Source organism: Homo sapiens, chromosome 2, assembly GCF_000001405.40.
Source record: "Homo sapiens chromosome 2, GRCh38.p14 Primary Assembly".
Classification (NCBI taxonomy): Eukaryota; Metazoa; Chordata; class Mammalia; order Primates; family Hominidae; genus Homo; species Homo sapiens.
Window position 1 is genome coordinate 71,559,723 of NC_000002.12, and position 16,668 is coordinate 71,576,390.

The following is a 16,668-nucleotide window of genomic DNA, read 5'->3' on the forward strand; positions in this document are numbered from 1 at the left end:
GCAGCTCAGGGCCACTTCCTCCAGGAAGGGCTCCTGACTCTGAGGCTGCTCAGGTGGGGATCTGTTTGCGTCTCTGTTCTGCGGACTTCCTGAGAGCAGGGCCAGGTCTCATCTCTGGAGGCAGCATCCAGTCCAAGCCCAGGGCAGAGCTGTTGCTCACTAGGAGTGAAATGAATGCCCCGAGGCCAGTTCATCTTTCAGGCCGGACACTGCCCAGGGTACAGGTATCCACCTGGCCCCGCAGAGGCAGGCAGGGACCTTGGGAGCAGCCCAGCCCACTCTGCTCTCAGCCTGCTGAGCCCTGCGCTGGGCCTACCTGCAATTTCCAAGTCAGCCGGCGTTGGCGGGGCCCCTGGCTTTGCTTAGGGCTGGGTGGAGCGCCATCAGCCTCCTCTTCCCGGTCTCCCCTTCTTTCCGTACCCCCTGCCTTGGGCTTTCCTGAGGAGGGAAAGAGCCGAGACAGCACGGAGACAGCTTGTTAGTGGCACTCACAGGTCCTAAATGTTTCTTGGGGAGTCTTGGCTGGGCTGTGGCCTCCATGAAAATCTCCCTTTGGTGGTCTGTACTGCAGCCCCTCCCGGCTCCCGACCCGGGCTGGGCGCATAAATCACCCTGGTTGGCTCGGCTCTCCCTATCCCTCTCCAGACCCGCTTGCCCCCGCTCTCAGGCCCACTCAGGCCTGGTTCCCAGGCAGGCCCCCGCCCCGCTACCCACCGAGCATGCCCCTCCACCACCGAGGAGCGGCCTGGGGCAGCCCATCCGCGGCACCCTCGGGGCAGTAAATATTATATTACTACAGGGTGTGCAGTACGTGACCTGAGACAGGCCCCGGGGCTTAAGTTTCCCGAGATGGAGTTTGCGTACTGCTCCCCCCATCCTAAAAATTCAATTAAAAAAAATAACAGGAAAAATGTAGTGCGCCGAGGGCCTGCCAGAGCGGTGTATCTGGCGGCGGCGGTGCCGCTGCGCTCCGGCGGTAATTGGTTCTGCATAGCTCGGGGAAATTGGCAGAAAAATAAATCAGCCGGGAGCCGGGAGTCAGACGCTGCAGGGAGGGGAGGTGGGGGGTGCTGCAAGTGGTGGGAGCAGACCTGGTGGAGCGGGTTTGACTAATGTCCTGTTTGGGAGTCAAGGGGGTGAGGTGGGGGCAGGGCAGCCCCCATACCCTCAGTGGAGAATGGAAAATGGAGAGGAGTCCCGCTTGGTTAGGGAGTGCACAGACTGCCCCGCCGCATTTCTGCATGGCCCTTGTGTGGGTACCGACCCCTGGCCTTGGAATGGCGAGGAGGAGCCATATGAAGGACTTTCAGGGCGCCTCCGTGGGATGGGGGAGGTCAGAGTTCTTTGCCTCTAAACAGGATTGAGCTTAAACCTGACCTCCTGTCTCTCAGGGCTCAGGGCTGTGTTTCTGGCATTGCATGTACCCCCCACCTCCTCTCCAAAGGCTTCCCAAAGCAGAGTGTTCTGGGAAGGGTTCTGTTGTGGCTCCCCACCCCACCTCAGGTGGATACATCTGAGCTGCTGGCCTCCCTGCAGTGCCTGCAGTAGCTCTTCAGGGGTTCCTAAATTTCTTCCTTGAAGAATGTGGACACAGCACAGAGCAGACTTGTTTCAGTGCAGGGCACTCAGCGCTGGAGCCTCTACTCTAGGAGGATCCAGGAGGCAGGAGCAGGACCCCCTGGGCCCTCCGAGAGCCTGTAGTCAGTGGGGCAGAGGGGAACACACATGCAAAAGAACTCACTGGACTGGAGTTGAGGACAGATTCCAAACTGGCAGTCCTGGAATCGAGGGCTGGGGGCTCCAGATCAGGAGGCGCGTAGGCTGACATGGGTGAGGAAGGCTTCCTGGAGGAGGTGAGGGTGGAGCACATCACATAGAGATGGCTGTGTGTGTGGAGCGGGCTGGAGAAGGCACCCAGCAGGCAGGCGGAGGGGGTGGGGCCTGCTGTGAGAACCTGGCACATGTGCATGCCTGGACCTGGGAGAGCCCTGGGCTCATCAGGCGCATTCCATCTGTCCGTCCCTCACAGCCAGCCTCTGGGTGACATCCATGAGACACCCTCTGCCACCCACCTGGACCAGTACCTGTACCAGCTGCGCACCCATCACCTGAGCCAAATCACTGAGGCTGCCCTGGCCCTGAAGCTCGGCCACAGTGAGCTCCCTGCAGCTCTGGAGCAGGCGGAGGACTGGCTCCTGCGTCTGCGTGCCCTGGCAGAGGAGGTAATTAAGCCTGGGGGTGCCTTTCTTCTTCTGCTCTCCTGCTGCCTGGAACATCAGAACTGGCAGGGACAAGGCGAATGTCTGGATTATTACCCACCCCGGTTCCATTGCTGGGTGACCTTGGGCAGGTGACTTAACCTCTCTGAACCTCAATGGACCAATTTGCAGAAGGAAGAGAGAGGGTACGATGGAATACTGGGTGTTATGGGGCCCAGCACAGAGCCTGGCACACAATAGGTAACTAATAAATGCCCTCTGTTTGCCAAAGTATGTCAGAGACAGAGCTGGGACCAGAATCCAAGGTACCTGGTTCTAGGTTCAGTGCCAGGGCCAGCTTCCCCAGGTTCCCGACTCCTACTTCCTGCCAGCCAGTGCCTGTCTGCACCTGGCCAACAACCTGCCCTGCCTGGACCCTCTGTTTCCTGTTGTCCTGGATGCCTCTGAACCCCAGGCCCAAGGAGGCTTCATTTTCAGTAACTCTGAGTTTTGCTGAATCTGATCAGAGAGAACCGGCTCTGGTTTGTCTTTGGGGAACTATTTCCCCACCTGCAGACCCTCCCCCTGAGGTCTCTGTGGCCAGATGCACCCACCCGGTTCTGTGGCAAATAGGCAGGTCCGGTATTTGTCTGGAATGAGAAGCGTCTGCTCATAAGTGTTGGGCAGACACAGCTGCTGCCTGCTCTGACCAGAGCCCTGTGGGACTCCCAGGGAGGAGGTAGGGGCTCTCCCCAGGAGTGTGAGAAGGGCAGGGCCAGGAGAGCGGTTGCTGGAGGAAGCTGTGGAAGGGGAGAGGGAGGCTGCTCAGGAAGGGATGTGGGTCCCTGGAGTCAGCAGGGCCTATAGGCACAGGCTGGTTCCCTGGTGGACACTGTGTCGCTCAGCTGTGGACCAACTCCTCACAGTGGCAGCAGACCAACCCCTCAGGCTGGTCACGGGCTTCCCTCTGTAATCTCAGCCCAGACTGACCCGTGAACTGTAAGCACAAATTGTGATATGGCTGGAAGGGGTTAAGGTCGAACAGTGCTGTCACTGTAAGGGCCCCGTGGAGAGAGCCCTTCTCAAACTTGCATGTGCATCAGAATCCCTTGGAGGGCTTGTGAAAAGCAGGTTAGGGCCCACCCCTCGAGTTCCTGCCCCCCTGGAACTGGGGCAAACCTGAAAATATGCATTTCTAACAAGTTCCTGGAAGCTGCTGCTGCTGTGGGTGCCACACTTTGAGAACCCCTGGTATAGTGGTTAGGAACACATATTTGGAGTCAGAAAAACCTGCATTGGCTCCTAAGCTCTCAAAGCCTGAATTTCCTCACCTGTCAAATGGGGCTGCCTGTCCTGCCTCCTGGGCTTGCTGTTGGGGTTCAGTGAAGCGACGCATGGGCATGCTTCACCTGTGCTGCAGGAGCATCAGCTCAGCAGGACCCTGGGTGGAGACCTGGGGCTCACTTGGGCTCACTTTGCTCATCATCCTTGGAAGCAAATGGACCCTTACCCAATCAGCCTGCTCTCCAGAGTGTGCAGCTGGGAGCAGTTGTCAATCATGCTGGAGGGGCTTAGGGGCCTCACAGTTTTGTTCTGGACTAGTCACCATTTTCAGAGTCCAGTGTCTTCAGGCCATGGGAGTCCTGCTGCTACGGGAGGAGGGTGTGTGTCCTCTGGGAAGGGCATACCTTCTGTGGATCTGTTCCCGCTCTTGGGGCTGAGGAAGGCGGGTGGTGTCCTAGGCGTAATGTTACCTCCCTGGTCAAATCTAGTTCTCTGATGTTTGCCCCCTGGGAATGTCTACCTGGTAGCGAGGACCTAAGAATGTAAGGTTTGAGGTCCAGGCAGGAGTGTCTCTTCCCAGAAGGATGTACTCAGCTCAGTAACCTTGGTGGGCTTCTCATGTGAGCTGGGGGCAGCCTTATGCTCTGTTCTCTGGGGGCTCACCGCCACTCAAGCCAGACACTGGCCAGCCCTGGGAGGTCTGGGGGAAGGCCAGGGTGGACAGTGTGTGGGATGGAAGCTGGGAGAGGAGAGGCCTCTGTGGCCTCTGAGTCAGAGGTCAGCTCACGGTGTGGCTGTGGGGCGTGGGCCTGGTGTGTCACCATCCCCACCCCGACCACCACCCTCTGTTCAGCCCCAGAACAGCCTGCCGGACATCGTCATCTGGATGCTGCAGGGAGACAAGCGTGTGGCATACCAGCGGGTGCCCGCCCACCAAGTCCTCTTCTCCCGGCGGGGTGCCAACTACTGTGGCAAGAATTGTGGGAAGCTACAGACAATCTTTCTGAAAGTGAGTTTTCTTTTTTCCCAAGTCATGATCGTATTTTTCCCAACATAAGGCCTTTCTCCCATCTCTTCTGTTTCCCCTCCTGTTCTTGACCTATCTTAGTTCTTAGGCTGTGGTCTTGGAAGGAGAAGAGGTCTTTGGGTAAAACAATTTCCCTTTTCCTCGGTTACCCCCGAAGTCCCCAGGCCCCTGCACCTAGTCTAGGAAGTTAGTAGGTTTGAGCCGGAATCACTGGCGCTGGGAGTGAATGAGGTGGAGTCTGTGGCCCAGGCCATCTGGGAGGGCTGACCCCTGGGGCTGTGTTTGTCCTTCCAGGCAGGTCCCTTATAGGGAGGCCTCATCCTCAGTTCCCAGGCACTAGCAGGCCTTGCATGACCTGGCTTCCACACCAACCCGAGTGCCCTGGACTGGAGCTGGAGCCACTCTGAGGCTCAAGTCCTCCCTGCTGGGAAGGCTGGTATCTGGGGCTTGGGACAGGCACACCACAATCTGGACCCACTGGAGAGCTGGGAGCATGTAATTCTGTCCCCTGGTCTCACCAGCCCCCACCTCTCCTGCCCTTTCTCCTCTTCTAACACCCATCCCTGCTCCCTCTTCCTCCTTTCCAGGAGGGTCACCAGCTTTGGGGACGGGTGACAGGGAGGTGAGTGGGTGCTTGGGGAGAGCCCATCTGTGCTCCTCTCTAGGCTCATGCGCGGACATAGAGCCAAAGCTGCTGTGGTCATGGTGTGGCCTGGCGTGCAGGACACAATGCGGGAGATCCCTCCCTGCACGATGGCTGCCCAGGCCCAAGGGAGGGCCCTCCTTGAAGAGCTGTCAGCAAGGCTGCCCCTGCTTGGGGAGGAGTGGCCCTGAGAAGCAGGCCTGCTCCTTACCTTTTTTTTTTTTGAGTTGGAATCTCATTCTATTGCCCAGGCTGGAGTGTAGTGGTGTGATCTCCACTCACTGCAGCCTCCGCCTCACAAGTTCAAGGGATTCTCCTCCCTCAGCCTCCTGAGTAGCTGGGATTATAGGCGTTTGCCAACCCACCCAGCTCTTTTTTTTTTTTTTTTTTAATTTTAGTGGAGATGGGGTTTCACCATGTTGGCCAGGCTGGTCTCGAAATCCTGACCTCAGGTGATCCGCCTGCCTTGGCCTCCCAAAGTGCTGGGATTCAGGCGTGAGCCACCGCGCCAGCCCTCCTTACCTCTTTTCATTTGCCCTGAATAGCTCTACTAGCATTCAAGGACTCCTCAGCCTAAGGCACCAGACTTTCATCCAGCCTAGTCCACCTCCCCAAAGCCCCTCCACGCTGGACCTTCCCCTTCCCTACATCTCTCCTCCCTCCTCCCCTCTTCCAGGAAGTCGTTGTTGACTTACTTTAGCCTGGAACCCTGAAGCAGAGCCCCCTGAGTGATGCTGATGCATTCATATATTGGCCAGTCCTCTTGTTGTCCCCTGGGGGGTGTGGAGAGGGCAGGTTTCAGTAGCACAGAGGATGCCAGGGCTGGTTGGAGCTCTATGTGGCCTTGGGCAGGTTGCTTAACCTCTCTGAATTGCCTGTTGTCTTATCATCTGTAAAATGAGGGTGGGTGGGGCTGCCCACTTTACAGGTTTTGAGGGTTGAGTTAGGTGACACAGGTGATGGGTCTTGCTGGAACTAAGTGATCAATGGATGTTAGTTTCTCTCCCCACCTCTCCCCTTTTCCTTTTGGGGAGCTCCCCTGCTCTATGCGTGCCATGACTGGAGGCCAACTCAAGGCCAGGGATAGTAGATGTCTGCACACAGTTGTGTGAGTGAGTGTGTCTGTGTGTGTGTGTGTTGGGCAGCAGGCTGCCCCCATCCACCTGCTCACATGCCACCTGGGGCATGTTTCCCATTAGATTCTAACCTCCTGTGCTTGTCAGAGCCTAACCTCTGAGAGTCTACCTCCTAAGCCAGTTCCTGGCCTGGTAGGGCAGAAAGGAAAGGAAGTCAAGGAGTGGCCATATCTGAGTGGGGCTGACCGGGGAAGGCGGTCTGCGAGAGTGGCGGGGGCGGGGCGGGGGGTGCTGCTGAATTGTGCCTGGTGGACTTGCTGGGAGGGGATGAGCTCCAGGTTCTGACCTCTTGGCCATGTAGCCTCAGGGAAATGCAAACTGAAAATTTTCCCTGGTTTCAAGCAAAAAAAAAAAAAAAAAAAAAAAAGATATAGAATTGTTTCTCGAAGTCTTCCCCACTGAGTTTATGAGCCCCGCCAGTAGCTCCTGAGCAAGCTCTACAAAAATGTTGGCAGCAAGCAGAGACCAAGAAAACATTGGTGTTTCTTAACTTAAACCAAAGTTGGAAAAAATGAGCACCAGCAGAGAGAGAGAGGAGCCCCAAACTAGACATTTCTTTATTTGCTGTTGCTATTTTGGGTCCAGCAGGCTGGCCCCGTCTCGGGGAGGACAGGGGAGAGAGCCGGGGGTGGATGGGGGAAGTGGGGGTCAGGCATTCCTGCCATCTCCCTGGGGCTGGTGGTTTGGAGGGTAAAGGCAGTTAACCACCCGGGGGAGAGGACAGCCGAAGCGAACAGCCATGGAGAGGTTTCCCCGGGGCATGACACGTGGACTCAGGGGCTCCTACAGGCTTCATTGAAGATGAACCAAAAGAAGGGGGGCTGTGTCCGCAGGAGGGAAGCGTGAGGTGGCCCTAGCCTTGGCATGTCCTCTGCCCCTTCCTGAGCCTCCTACCTGCCCTGGGCTCTCCCTCCAGGGATCCAGGCCTCCCTGACCAGCGTGGGACCCCTTACCTCAGCTGCCCTTTCATCTTCTGAACCCACCCGTTTTCTCACTTGGCTATACTGCTCTGAGCTCATGACACTAGGCCTGGGTACTTAATGTGTTGCCTCCTCTAGGGGACAATGTGAATTTTAAGAGCAGGAGCTTCTGCTCCTCAGGCCATGTCTGACCTTTGGTTTCAATCAAATGGTGAAGTAATTGTGGAGAATAATTTTTGTTTCATGTTGGGTTGTTGTGGTTATTCCATTTGGCAGAGCTTCTGAAAGTTTCAGGAAAAAAAGCAGTTGAAGACCAGTGAATAGTGGTTGACATGCTGATAATCACTTGAAAGGGTAGGGATATTAGATGATACAGTAACCAAAGAAATAAAATACTAAACATGGAGGGGGAGGCTTTAATTTCTTCTCTTTCCAGATCTGTATCATTGTATCTCCTTTAGAGACAAGTTTTAGAACTGTGCTGTCCAATATGGTAGCCACAGATGGCTATTTAAATTTACATTAATTAAAAGTAAATGAAACGAAAACTTTATCTCCGCAGTCATACTGGCCACATTTCAAATGCTCGGTAGCTACATGGGCCTAGTTGACTACCATATTGGATGGTGAAGATATAAACCATTTTCCTCATAGCAGAAAGTTCCATTGGCAAGCACTGTTCCAGAAGAAAATGGAAGCGAGGCTGTGGTGGGAGAAGGGGAGAGGAGAGGTCCTGGGCTAGACATGGTTCTTCTCTGCAGAGCGCTCCTAGGAGGGAATGATGTAGCCTTTGCCTTTGATGGGGAGGAATCTTGGTGAGGGGTAGGGGGTGGGGTGGACGTTTCTTAATTGCACACTCCCCTTCTATGCAATTCTGGTAAGCGCTCCCACAGGGGACACTCCCAGTGAGGGTGTCAGCCTGCTCTACCCAGGCTTGGAGGACTCCTCCTCCCCAGCCTCTCACTGGGACATCCGGATCCTGAAGGGGACTGTGGGTTTCTGTCCTTCTCTGGTACCCAGTATCCGATGGAGAAGGTGCCTGGCGCCCGGATGCCAGTGCAGATACGGGTCAAGCTGTGGTTTGGGCTCTCAGTGGATGAGAAGGAGTTCAACCAGTTTGCTGAGGGGAAGCTGTCTGTCTTTGCTGAAACCGTGAGTACCTGCCAGCCCCCACCTCTGCCTCCCACTACCTGGAGCTGCCTTGGCCCCCTGCTCACGCCTCATTCTTCCTGGCCCTCCAGTATGAGAACGAGACTAAGTTGGCCCTTGTTGGGAACTGGGGCACAACGGGCCTCACCTACCCCAAGTTTTCTGACGTCACGGGCAAGATCAAGCTACCCAAGGACAGCTTCCGCCCCTCGGCCGGCTGGACCTGGGCTGGAGATTGGTTCGTGTGTCCGGAGAAGACGTGAGTCGTGGGCAGGGAGGGCTGGGGAGAGCCAGGCCAGGCTGCCCACCATGGACTGCACCCTCCTTTTGGAGGCAGGCTGGGGTCTGTTGATCCCTCTGCTTGCTCCTGCGCTGGTCATAGGAACTTCCGCTGAACTCTCCCAGGACTGAGGCTTGCCAGGCAGCAGTCCTTTCCAGAAGGGCTTGGATGGTCAGACAGTCCTTTATTCTTTTCATTAAAAAAATTTTTTTTTTTTTTTGAGACAGAGTCTCACTCTGTTTGGAGGCTGGAGTGCAGTAGCATGATCGCAGCTCATTGCAGCCTCAACCTCCTGGCCTCAGGTGATCCTCCTGCTCCTGCCTTCTGAGTAGCTGGGACCACAGGCGTGCGCCATCATGCCTGGCTAATTTTTAAATTTTTTGTAGAGACAGGGTCTCACTGTGTTGCCCAGGCTGGTCTTGAACTCCTGGGCTCAAGTGATTCTCCCTCCTTGAACTCCCAAAGTGCTGGGGTTACAGGCTTGAGTCACCACGCCTGGCCAGGCCTTTATTCTCTCTCTTTTTTTTTTTTGAGACGGAGTCTCGCTCGGTCGCCCAGGCTGGAGTGCAGTGGCGCGATCTCGGCTCACTGCAACCTCCACCTCCCGGGTTCACGCCATTCTCCGGCCTCAGCCTCCTGAGTAGCTGGGACTACAGCTGCCTGCCACTACGCCCAGCTAATTTTATTTTGTATTTTAGTAGAGACGAGGTTTCACCATGTTAGCCAGGATGGTCTCGATCTCCTGACCTGGTGATCCACCCGCCTCGGCCTCCCAAAGTGCTGGGATTACAGGCTTGAGCCACCGCGCCTGGCCCAGGCCTTTATTCTTAAGCCTTCGTTCTGTGTGGTGCCCACTGGGTGTGGCCCCATCCTCAAAGACACCCAGGACAAGCCCATCACCTCCTCTGCACGTGAACCCTTCTCGTGTCTGGGCTGCTCACACATCCCCTGAGTGGTCCTTTCTCTGTCAGTCCCTCTCAGATCCACGTGGTCCTTCTCCATGTCTATTGCCGCCTTTGCCTCTCTCTCCTCTCCTTTTCCTGTTTGGTTGGCATTCAACTCTGTGGTGTTTAACTTTTTTTTACTTAAAAAAATTGAAGTATAACATATTATACAGTCAAGCACTCAAATCTTATGAGCACAACTTGATAAAACTTTATATTTTTACAACTATCCATCAAGCCTCGACTGCCCATCCTCCTTTTGCTGTCTTCAGTTGGCCCCCTTTTCTCTTTATCTTGGGTGATGTGCTCTTTTGTCCCCGATTATCTCGGAGTGTCCCTAGGTCTCCTTTTCACTGTCTGCCTTGGTCTCTTGCACCCTTCCCTCCCCACCCCCCATGTCTCTCATTGTTGGTTGGGGTGAGGCTGACATACGCAGGGGTGCTCTCCAGGAGGTGGTAGATGGATGGGGGCCTCTCCAGCAGAGCAGCAGAGACTCTGACCAGCCCTCCTCCACAGTCTGCTCCATGACATGGACGCCGGTCACCTGAGCTTCGTGGAAGAGGTGTTTGAGAACCAGACCCGGCTTCCCGGAGGCCAGTGGATCTACATGAGTGACAACTACACCGATGTGGTAAAGCAGGCACTCAGGGGCAGGTGGGGTCTAGACATTTGGTCTCTGGAGGCACCTGGTGCTCAGGGACAGGTGGGGCATGTTTCTCTTTGCCCCCTCTTACCTCCGGAGACTTCATGCTTTGATTTCCAAAGGGAAAGTGTGGGGTGCAGTGGTGGCAGGACACTGACTCTGGGGCTCTGCCCTTCTGTCTGGGACTTGGAGGACGTATGTTGTCAAGTTGCATCTTTTCTGCCTCCCTGCTCACATCTGTCTGTCTCCTCTCATTGCTTGCCTGTTCGGTTTTGTCCTTAGAACGGGGAGAAGGTGCTTCCCAAGGATGACATTGAGTGCCCACTGGGCTGGAAGTGGGAAGATGAGGAATGGTCCACAGACCTCAACCGGGCTGTCGATGAGCAAGGTGGGCAGCATGTGGAACCTGGCGAGCCCCATCCCCGGCAAGCTCTCAAGCCATGCTGGTGGGGACGACTGAATGCCAGGGCCCTTCACTGGGCTATTTCACCCAGGGACGCTTCTTGAAGGCACCCCCCACTCCAAGCTGCAAATTAGGACCGAGAGTCAGTGGCCGCTCAAGAGTCTGTGACCATGCCCCAAATTCAGAGATGGTCCCAGGAGAGATGGGGGGAACTGCCAAGCAATGAGTGACCGGTTCCCCCTCCCCCAGGCTGGGAGTATAGCATCACCATCCCCCCGGAGCGGAAGCCGAAGCACTGGGTCCCTGCTGAGAAGATGTACTACACACACCGACGGCGGCGCTGGGTGCGCCTGCGCAGGAGGGATCTCAGCCAAATGGAAGCACTGAAAAGGGTGAGCCAGCAGGTGGTGGGTGGGAGTGAGGCCTGTGGTCACAGGTGGCCAGTAGGCACAGATGCAGACCTGCATGCCCACAGACACATGCATGTGTGCACACAGCATGCACAGACACCTGGGACTCACTGGAGGTGCTCACAGATCACACCCAGCATACCCAAAGATCACACCCAGCATACACACAGATCACACCCAGCATACCCAAAGATCACACCCAGCATACACACAGATCACACCCAGCACACAGATCACACTGGGAACACCCACAGATCACACTCAGCACACACACAGATTACACCCAGCACACACACAGATCACACCCAGCACACAGATTACACCCAGCACACACACAGATCACACCCAGCACACAGATCACACCCACAGATCACACCCAGCGCATGCACAGATCACACCCAGCACACCCAAAGATCACACCCAGCACACACACACAGATCACACCCAACACACCCACAGTTCACACTCAGCACACACAGATCACACCCAACACACCCACAGTTCACATGCAGCACACCCACAGTTCACACCTAGCACACACAGATTACACCTAGCACACCCAGCACACGCACAGCTCACACCCAGCACACCCACAGATCACACCCAGCACATGCACAGATCACAGTCAGCACACACAGATCACACCCAGCACACACAGATCACAGTCAGCACACACAGATCACACCCAGCACACACACAGATCACACCCAGCACACACACATCACACCCAGCACGCACAGATCACACCCACCACACACAGCTCACACCCAGCACACACACATCACACCCAGCACACGCACAGATCACACCCACCACACACAGATCACACCCAGCACACACAGCTCACACCCAGCACACACACAGATCACACCCAGCACATGCAGAGATCACACACAGATCACACCCAGCACACCCACAGATCACACCCAGCACATGCACAGATCACAGTCAGCACACACAGATCACACCCAGCACACACACAGATCACAGTCAGCACACACAGATCACACCCAGCACACACACAGATCACACCCAGCACACACAGCTCACACCCAGCACACACACATCACACCCAGCACATGCACAGATCACACCCACCACACACAGATCACACCCAGCACACACAGCTCACACCCAGCACACACACAGATCACACCCAGCACATGCACAGATCACACACAGATCACACCCAGCACACCCACAGATCACACCGAGCATGGATCACATCCAGCACACCCAGCACAGATCACACTCAGCACACACACATTACACCTAGCACACCCACAGATCACACCCAGCACACACACAGATCACACCCAGCACACCCACAGATCATACCCAGCACACCCACAGATCATACCCAGCACAGATCACACCCAGCACACCCACAGATCACACCCAGCATGGATCACACCCAGCACACCCAGCACAGATTACATCCAGCACACCCAGCACAGATCACACCCAGCACATGCACAGATCACACCTAGCACACCCACAGATCACAACCAGCACAGATCACACCTAGCACACCCACAGATCACACCCAGCACACAGAAATCACACCCAGCACACCCACAGATCACACCCAGCACAGATCACACCCAGCACACCCACAGATGCTTATAGACAGACACACTCAGATGCCCATGATTACAGAAGGTCACATGCAAAGTTCACACACCAACCTGGAAGATGGAAAGACACCCATGGACTTTGTCTTAGGCTGGGTTTCCTGGAGGCAGAAGCTAAGACGTAGATTTGGCTGCACATTATTGGGGCAGTGCCCTCGGGAGTGTGAGGAGCAAGGATGCAGCTTCAGGCAGGTCAGCTGTGGCCTGAGCTGTGGCCTGGGGAAGTTCACAACTCGGAACACCACAGAATCCTCACCTGGAGGCAGGGCTGGGCTTTGTATCCTCTCAGCCATCTGTCTAGGCTTGGGGTTGCTGGGGTGAGCTGGGGCACATACCTATCTCTTCAGTGAGGGGGTTTCCTTTAGCATGGGGGTTCCCTGGAGCAGGTGGCTTCTGGGAGCTGGGAGCTGTCGATGCTGATGGCAGCTGGGGATGGGTGCGCCACACGTGTACATTGGCTGGTGAGGGGGCTGGGGTGGGCCCCGTTGGCATTCATGCAATGCAAGCACACATGCCCACAGTTGAGCACAGATGCCATGGGATACTGTCAGGCCCATCGTGCACATGGATGAGCACACGCAAGCACATGCACTTGCTCCGGGGTCACACAGGGGCCTGTGCACTGCACAGCCTCTGTGCCCGCCTGTCCTGGACCTTCTTGGTCTATGATCTTCCTTCCTAAACACACATTTGAATTTTGGCTCAAGAACCAGACCTCCCTTAGTCCAGGAGTAGCCTGTGGCATGACCTAGGTTCCTTCCTTTCTCCTTGGGGGCAGAGAACCTAGAGAGGACTCTTGCTGGCTCCAGGGAGGGGCAAGGCTTTTGGACAACCAGCTGTTCCTGGTGCTGTGAACCAGACAGATTCAACTTTCTCCCTGAAGGGGCACCCAGCAGACAGAGGCAAAGCCTGCCCAGGCTCATGTGCCTTGCCCACCACCCCACAGCCAGCATCCTTCCTGGAGAGTGGCACAGCTGGCCTCCAGGACTGGCCCTTGTCACTGTGCTCCTGGCCCAGACCTGAGGTGGTGTCTGACAACAGTGCCAGGTCACCCTCTCCCAGGAGCTGAATGGCAAGGGGGCTCCCGGGACTCCCTTCAGGCCCAGGAAAGGGACCCCATGAACGAGGTACAGGGGTGCCTCCATAGCTGAGTTGGGTCTAGCTCCCAGGGGTGAAATTGGCTGTGGTTGGGAAATAGGATCTTCCTTTTACCTCTGAGCTGCAGACCCACTACAGGATGTGAAGATGAAAAAGGAAATGACAAGAAAACTTTGGATTCATGAAATCCACCCAGAATTCAAACAAATAAGCAAGTTAAAAGCCCAGTGTTTTCGTCACTGCGTCAGCCTACCTTCCTTTCTGGCTGTTTGGTTCTTCCCGCAGCCCATGGAGCCTCCTCTCCCCTCCTGATTTTTCTTTTTCTTTTTTCTTTTTTTCTTTTCCTTTTGAGATGGAGTCTCATTCTGTCACCCAGGCTTGAGTGCAGTGGCGCAATCTCGGCTCACTGCAACCTCCACCTCCCAGGTTCAAGCAATTCTCCTGCCTCAGCCTCCCTGGTAGCTGGGATTACAGACATGAGCCACCATGCCTGGCCTCCCCTCCTGATTTTCTGACCTGGGGTTCCTGTGGCTGCAGAAAGCCCCTCTCCTCTAGGTGGCCCTCCCAGGTTTTCCCACCTGGAGGGCACTAGTGTGGGAGCTGGTGGGGAGTTGTCATGGAAGACAGGAAGGCAAAGGTGGAGCCGAGCACAGAACTCCCCCCAGCCTTCCCACCGGCCTCTGAGTCTGCCCCTTCTCTTGTGCAGCACAGGCAGGCGGAGGCGGAGGGCGAGGGCTGGGAGTACGCCTCTCTTTTTGGCTGGAAGTTCCACCTCGAGTACCGCAAGACAGATGCCTTCCGCCGCCGCCGCTGGCGCCGTCGCATGGAGCCACTGGAGAAGACGGGGCCTGCAGCTGTGTTTGCCCTTGAGGGGGCCCTGGTATGTGGGGCTGCACTTGTCCTGGCTTGGGTAGGGTATATCTTGGTTTCCCAGGGCTGTTCGGGCTGATGTGGGAGAGGCACAGGGACCCCAGGTTAGGACTTTTGGATGGAACGCTGGCTGGTCATCCTGGCGTCAGTACCTGTGGGGTGGCATGTGGGGAAAGCAGCCCCAGTCTGGGTGTTCTTCTAAAATGAAAAAGCTCCTTCCTTGGCACTGAAACACTTGCTGCTACTACTTTGAGGTGTCAAGATGAAAGCAGAGGGGAAGATGGCCTTGGCCGTCTGGCTGGCCTGTGCCTGGCTGGCTGGTGTGAAGATGGGCGAGGAGGCCCATGGGAGGAGTGAGAGAGTTCTTGTGGCCCCAGAGTGTCCTTGGTTGCATGTGCATCCTCTTGAGGCAGAGACCATCTCATGGTCATCCCCAGCAATTTTGGGGAAGAGGTGTGCCTTAGAAGCTGAGCCCCAGGATGACTTTCCTGCCCAGGGTGCGCTTTCTGTAGCCAGTGGAACTGGGGTAGGCTCAAGGTTCTCCAGGGCCGGGGTGACGGGCTCCCCAAAAGAGACGAGCAGGTGTCTCGGGGACAGTCTGAGCGAGCACTCGGTACTGGCACACAGCCAGTCCCCACTCTGCTGCTCTGGGGAAGGAGCTGCTCCCTCTGAAATCCAGCCAGGACTGGCACCTCCCTAGGGGTTTGGGCTGGGGCCCTAGGGAGCAAGCCCCATGGGACGTGAGGGTGTCCATGTGAAGCCAGCTGTGTGGTTGGGGTCAGGCTGGGCACCTATCTGTAGGACAGCCTGGCTTTGAAGGCTGGAGGAGTGCTGTGGGGTGGCTCAGGATCTGTTGGGCTGGCCACTGGCAGGGAGGTGAAGCCAGCAGTGGCCCTGAGAGGGAGTGGGTGGGCTGGGGAGGCTCTGTCAGTCTCAGGCCTCGATGGTGGGCAAGGCCCAACAGTGGCAGTATAGGAGAGGAAGCTCTCTGGGGGCCTGAGGACGTCAGAGGAGCCTGCCATAGGCTTCGGAGAGAGCCCCTCCCTTGCCCTGGGGCCAGGTCAAGGGGAGGCTGAGGGGAGATAGCAGAGCTCTCGGCTCTCTGGGCTATGGACTGGTCTTCCGGCCAGGGTCGGGCAGGATAGGATGGAATTGCTGCCCAGGTCAGAGCAGCTGGGGAGCCTTCTGGGGTGGGGCTGGTGTTCTGTGGCCCCCTCTGCTTTGAGTCAGAAAGGGCCTGGCCTGAGCACTGGGCAGGGGCTGGTGATGATCCTGCGGCTCTAGCTGAGGGGTGGGGTATAAAGACCTTGGCAGGCCTCAGAGTCAGGGCCAGGTCTGAGAAGGCCAGGAAAGCACCCTGTGTAATCAGGATCTGTTTTCATCAGCCAGAGCTCTACTCAAAGGGGCTGAGAAGAAAAGTGGTTTGTGGGCTCACAGAGCTGGGAAGAACCCGAGAGGTGAAGCAGGCATTAGGCCTGGCAGGAAACAGGTTCATACAGTGTCCCCAGGACTCGCACCCCTGTCTTGGCCTTGTCTCACACGGGCTCTCTCTGTGTGGTAGCAAAGATGCTGCTGGTGACGAAAGGCCAACATCATCCCTCCAGCCAGCAAAGTCCTGCTAGATAAAGTAGCCCAGCCCACAGCGCCACACTCTGTTTTCCATGCAGCTGGAGACCCCTGAGTGCTGCCTTCTCAGTAATGTCAGTGAAGTCTTCGGCATGACTGACCAGCTCAGCCTGGTGGTGCCCAGCCAGCCCCTGCACCTGGGTGAGGGATGGAGCGTTCTGATTGGCCGGCATGGGCCATGCCCCTTCTCTGTGATTGACAGTGCCACCAGATTGGGGAGAGGAGCTTCTGAAAACAAAAACAAAAAACAAAAACCAAAGCAATGTTGGGCAAAGAGCTCCAGATGGTCCAGACGGTGACCAGAGCAGTAGGGAGCCAGTATGAGTTGTTGACAAGAAGAGTGCTCTGGTCAGAGCTAGGCTTTAGGACCATCAGTCAAGCAGCCATGGAGGATGCTTGGGAG

At 56.2% G+C, this 16,668-nt stretch overlaps 1 protein-coding gene across 14 annotated transcripts in view, besides 1 other annotated feature; it reads left to right on the forward strand.

The window, feature by feature from the left end:
* Positions 1-16,668, forward strand: part of DYSF (dysferlin) — a 233,203-nt gene that overhangs the window by 106,162 nt on the left and 110,373 nt on the right. For all 14 annotated transcript variants that reach the window (NM_001130979.2, NM_001130981.2, NM_001130980.2 and 11 more), the window contains 8 exons: positions 2,030-2,222; positions 4,336-4,491; positions 8,229-8,360; positions 8,450-8,616; positions 10,098-10,212; positions 10,507-10,612; positions 10,877-11,019; positions 14,476-14,649. In NM_001130979.2, coding sequence (NP_001124451.1) covers positions 2,030-2,222; positions 4,336-4,491; positions 8,229-8,360; positions 8,450-8,616; positions 10,098-10,212; positions 10,507-10,612; positions 10,877-11,019; positions 14,476-14,649 — 1,186 coding nt within the window. The remainder of the gene's footprint in view (positions 1-2,029; positions 2,223-4,335; positions 4,492-8,228; positions 8,361-8,449; positions 8,617-10,097; positions 10,213-10,506; positions 10,613-10,876; positions 11,020-14,475; positions 14,650-16,668) is intronic.
* Positions 401-928: an enhancer, noted in NCBI's record as "H3K27ac-H3K4me1 hESC enhancer chr2:71787253-71787780 (GRCh37/hg19 assembly coordinates)". NCBI's record gives its function as "activates a minimal SCP1, AML or CMV promoter by ChIP-STARR-seq in naive H9 embryonic stem cells {active_cell/tissue: H9 hESC(naive)}" and the evidence as "EXISTENCE:reporter gene assay evidence [ECO:0000049][PMID:30033119]".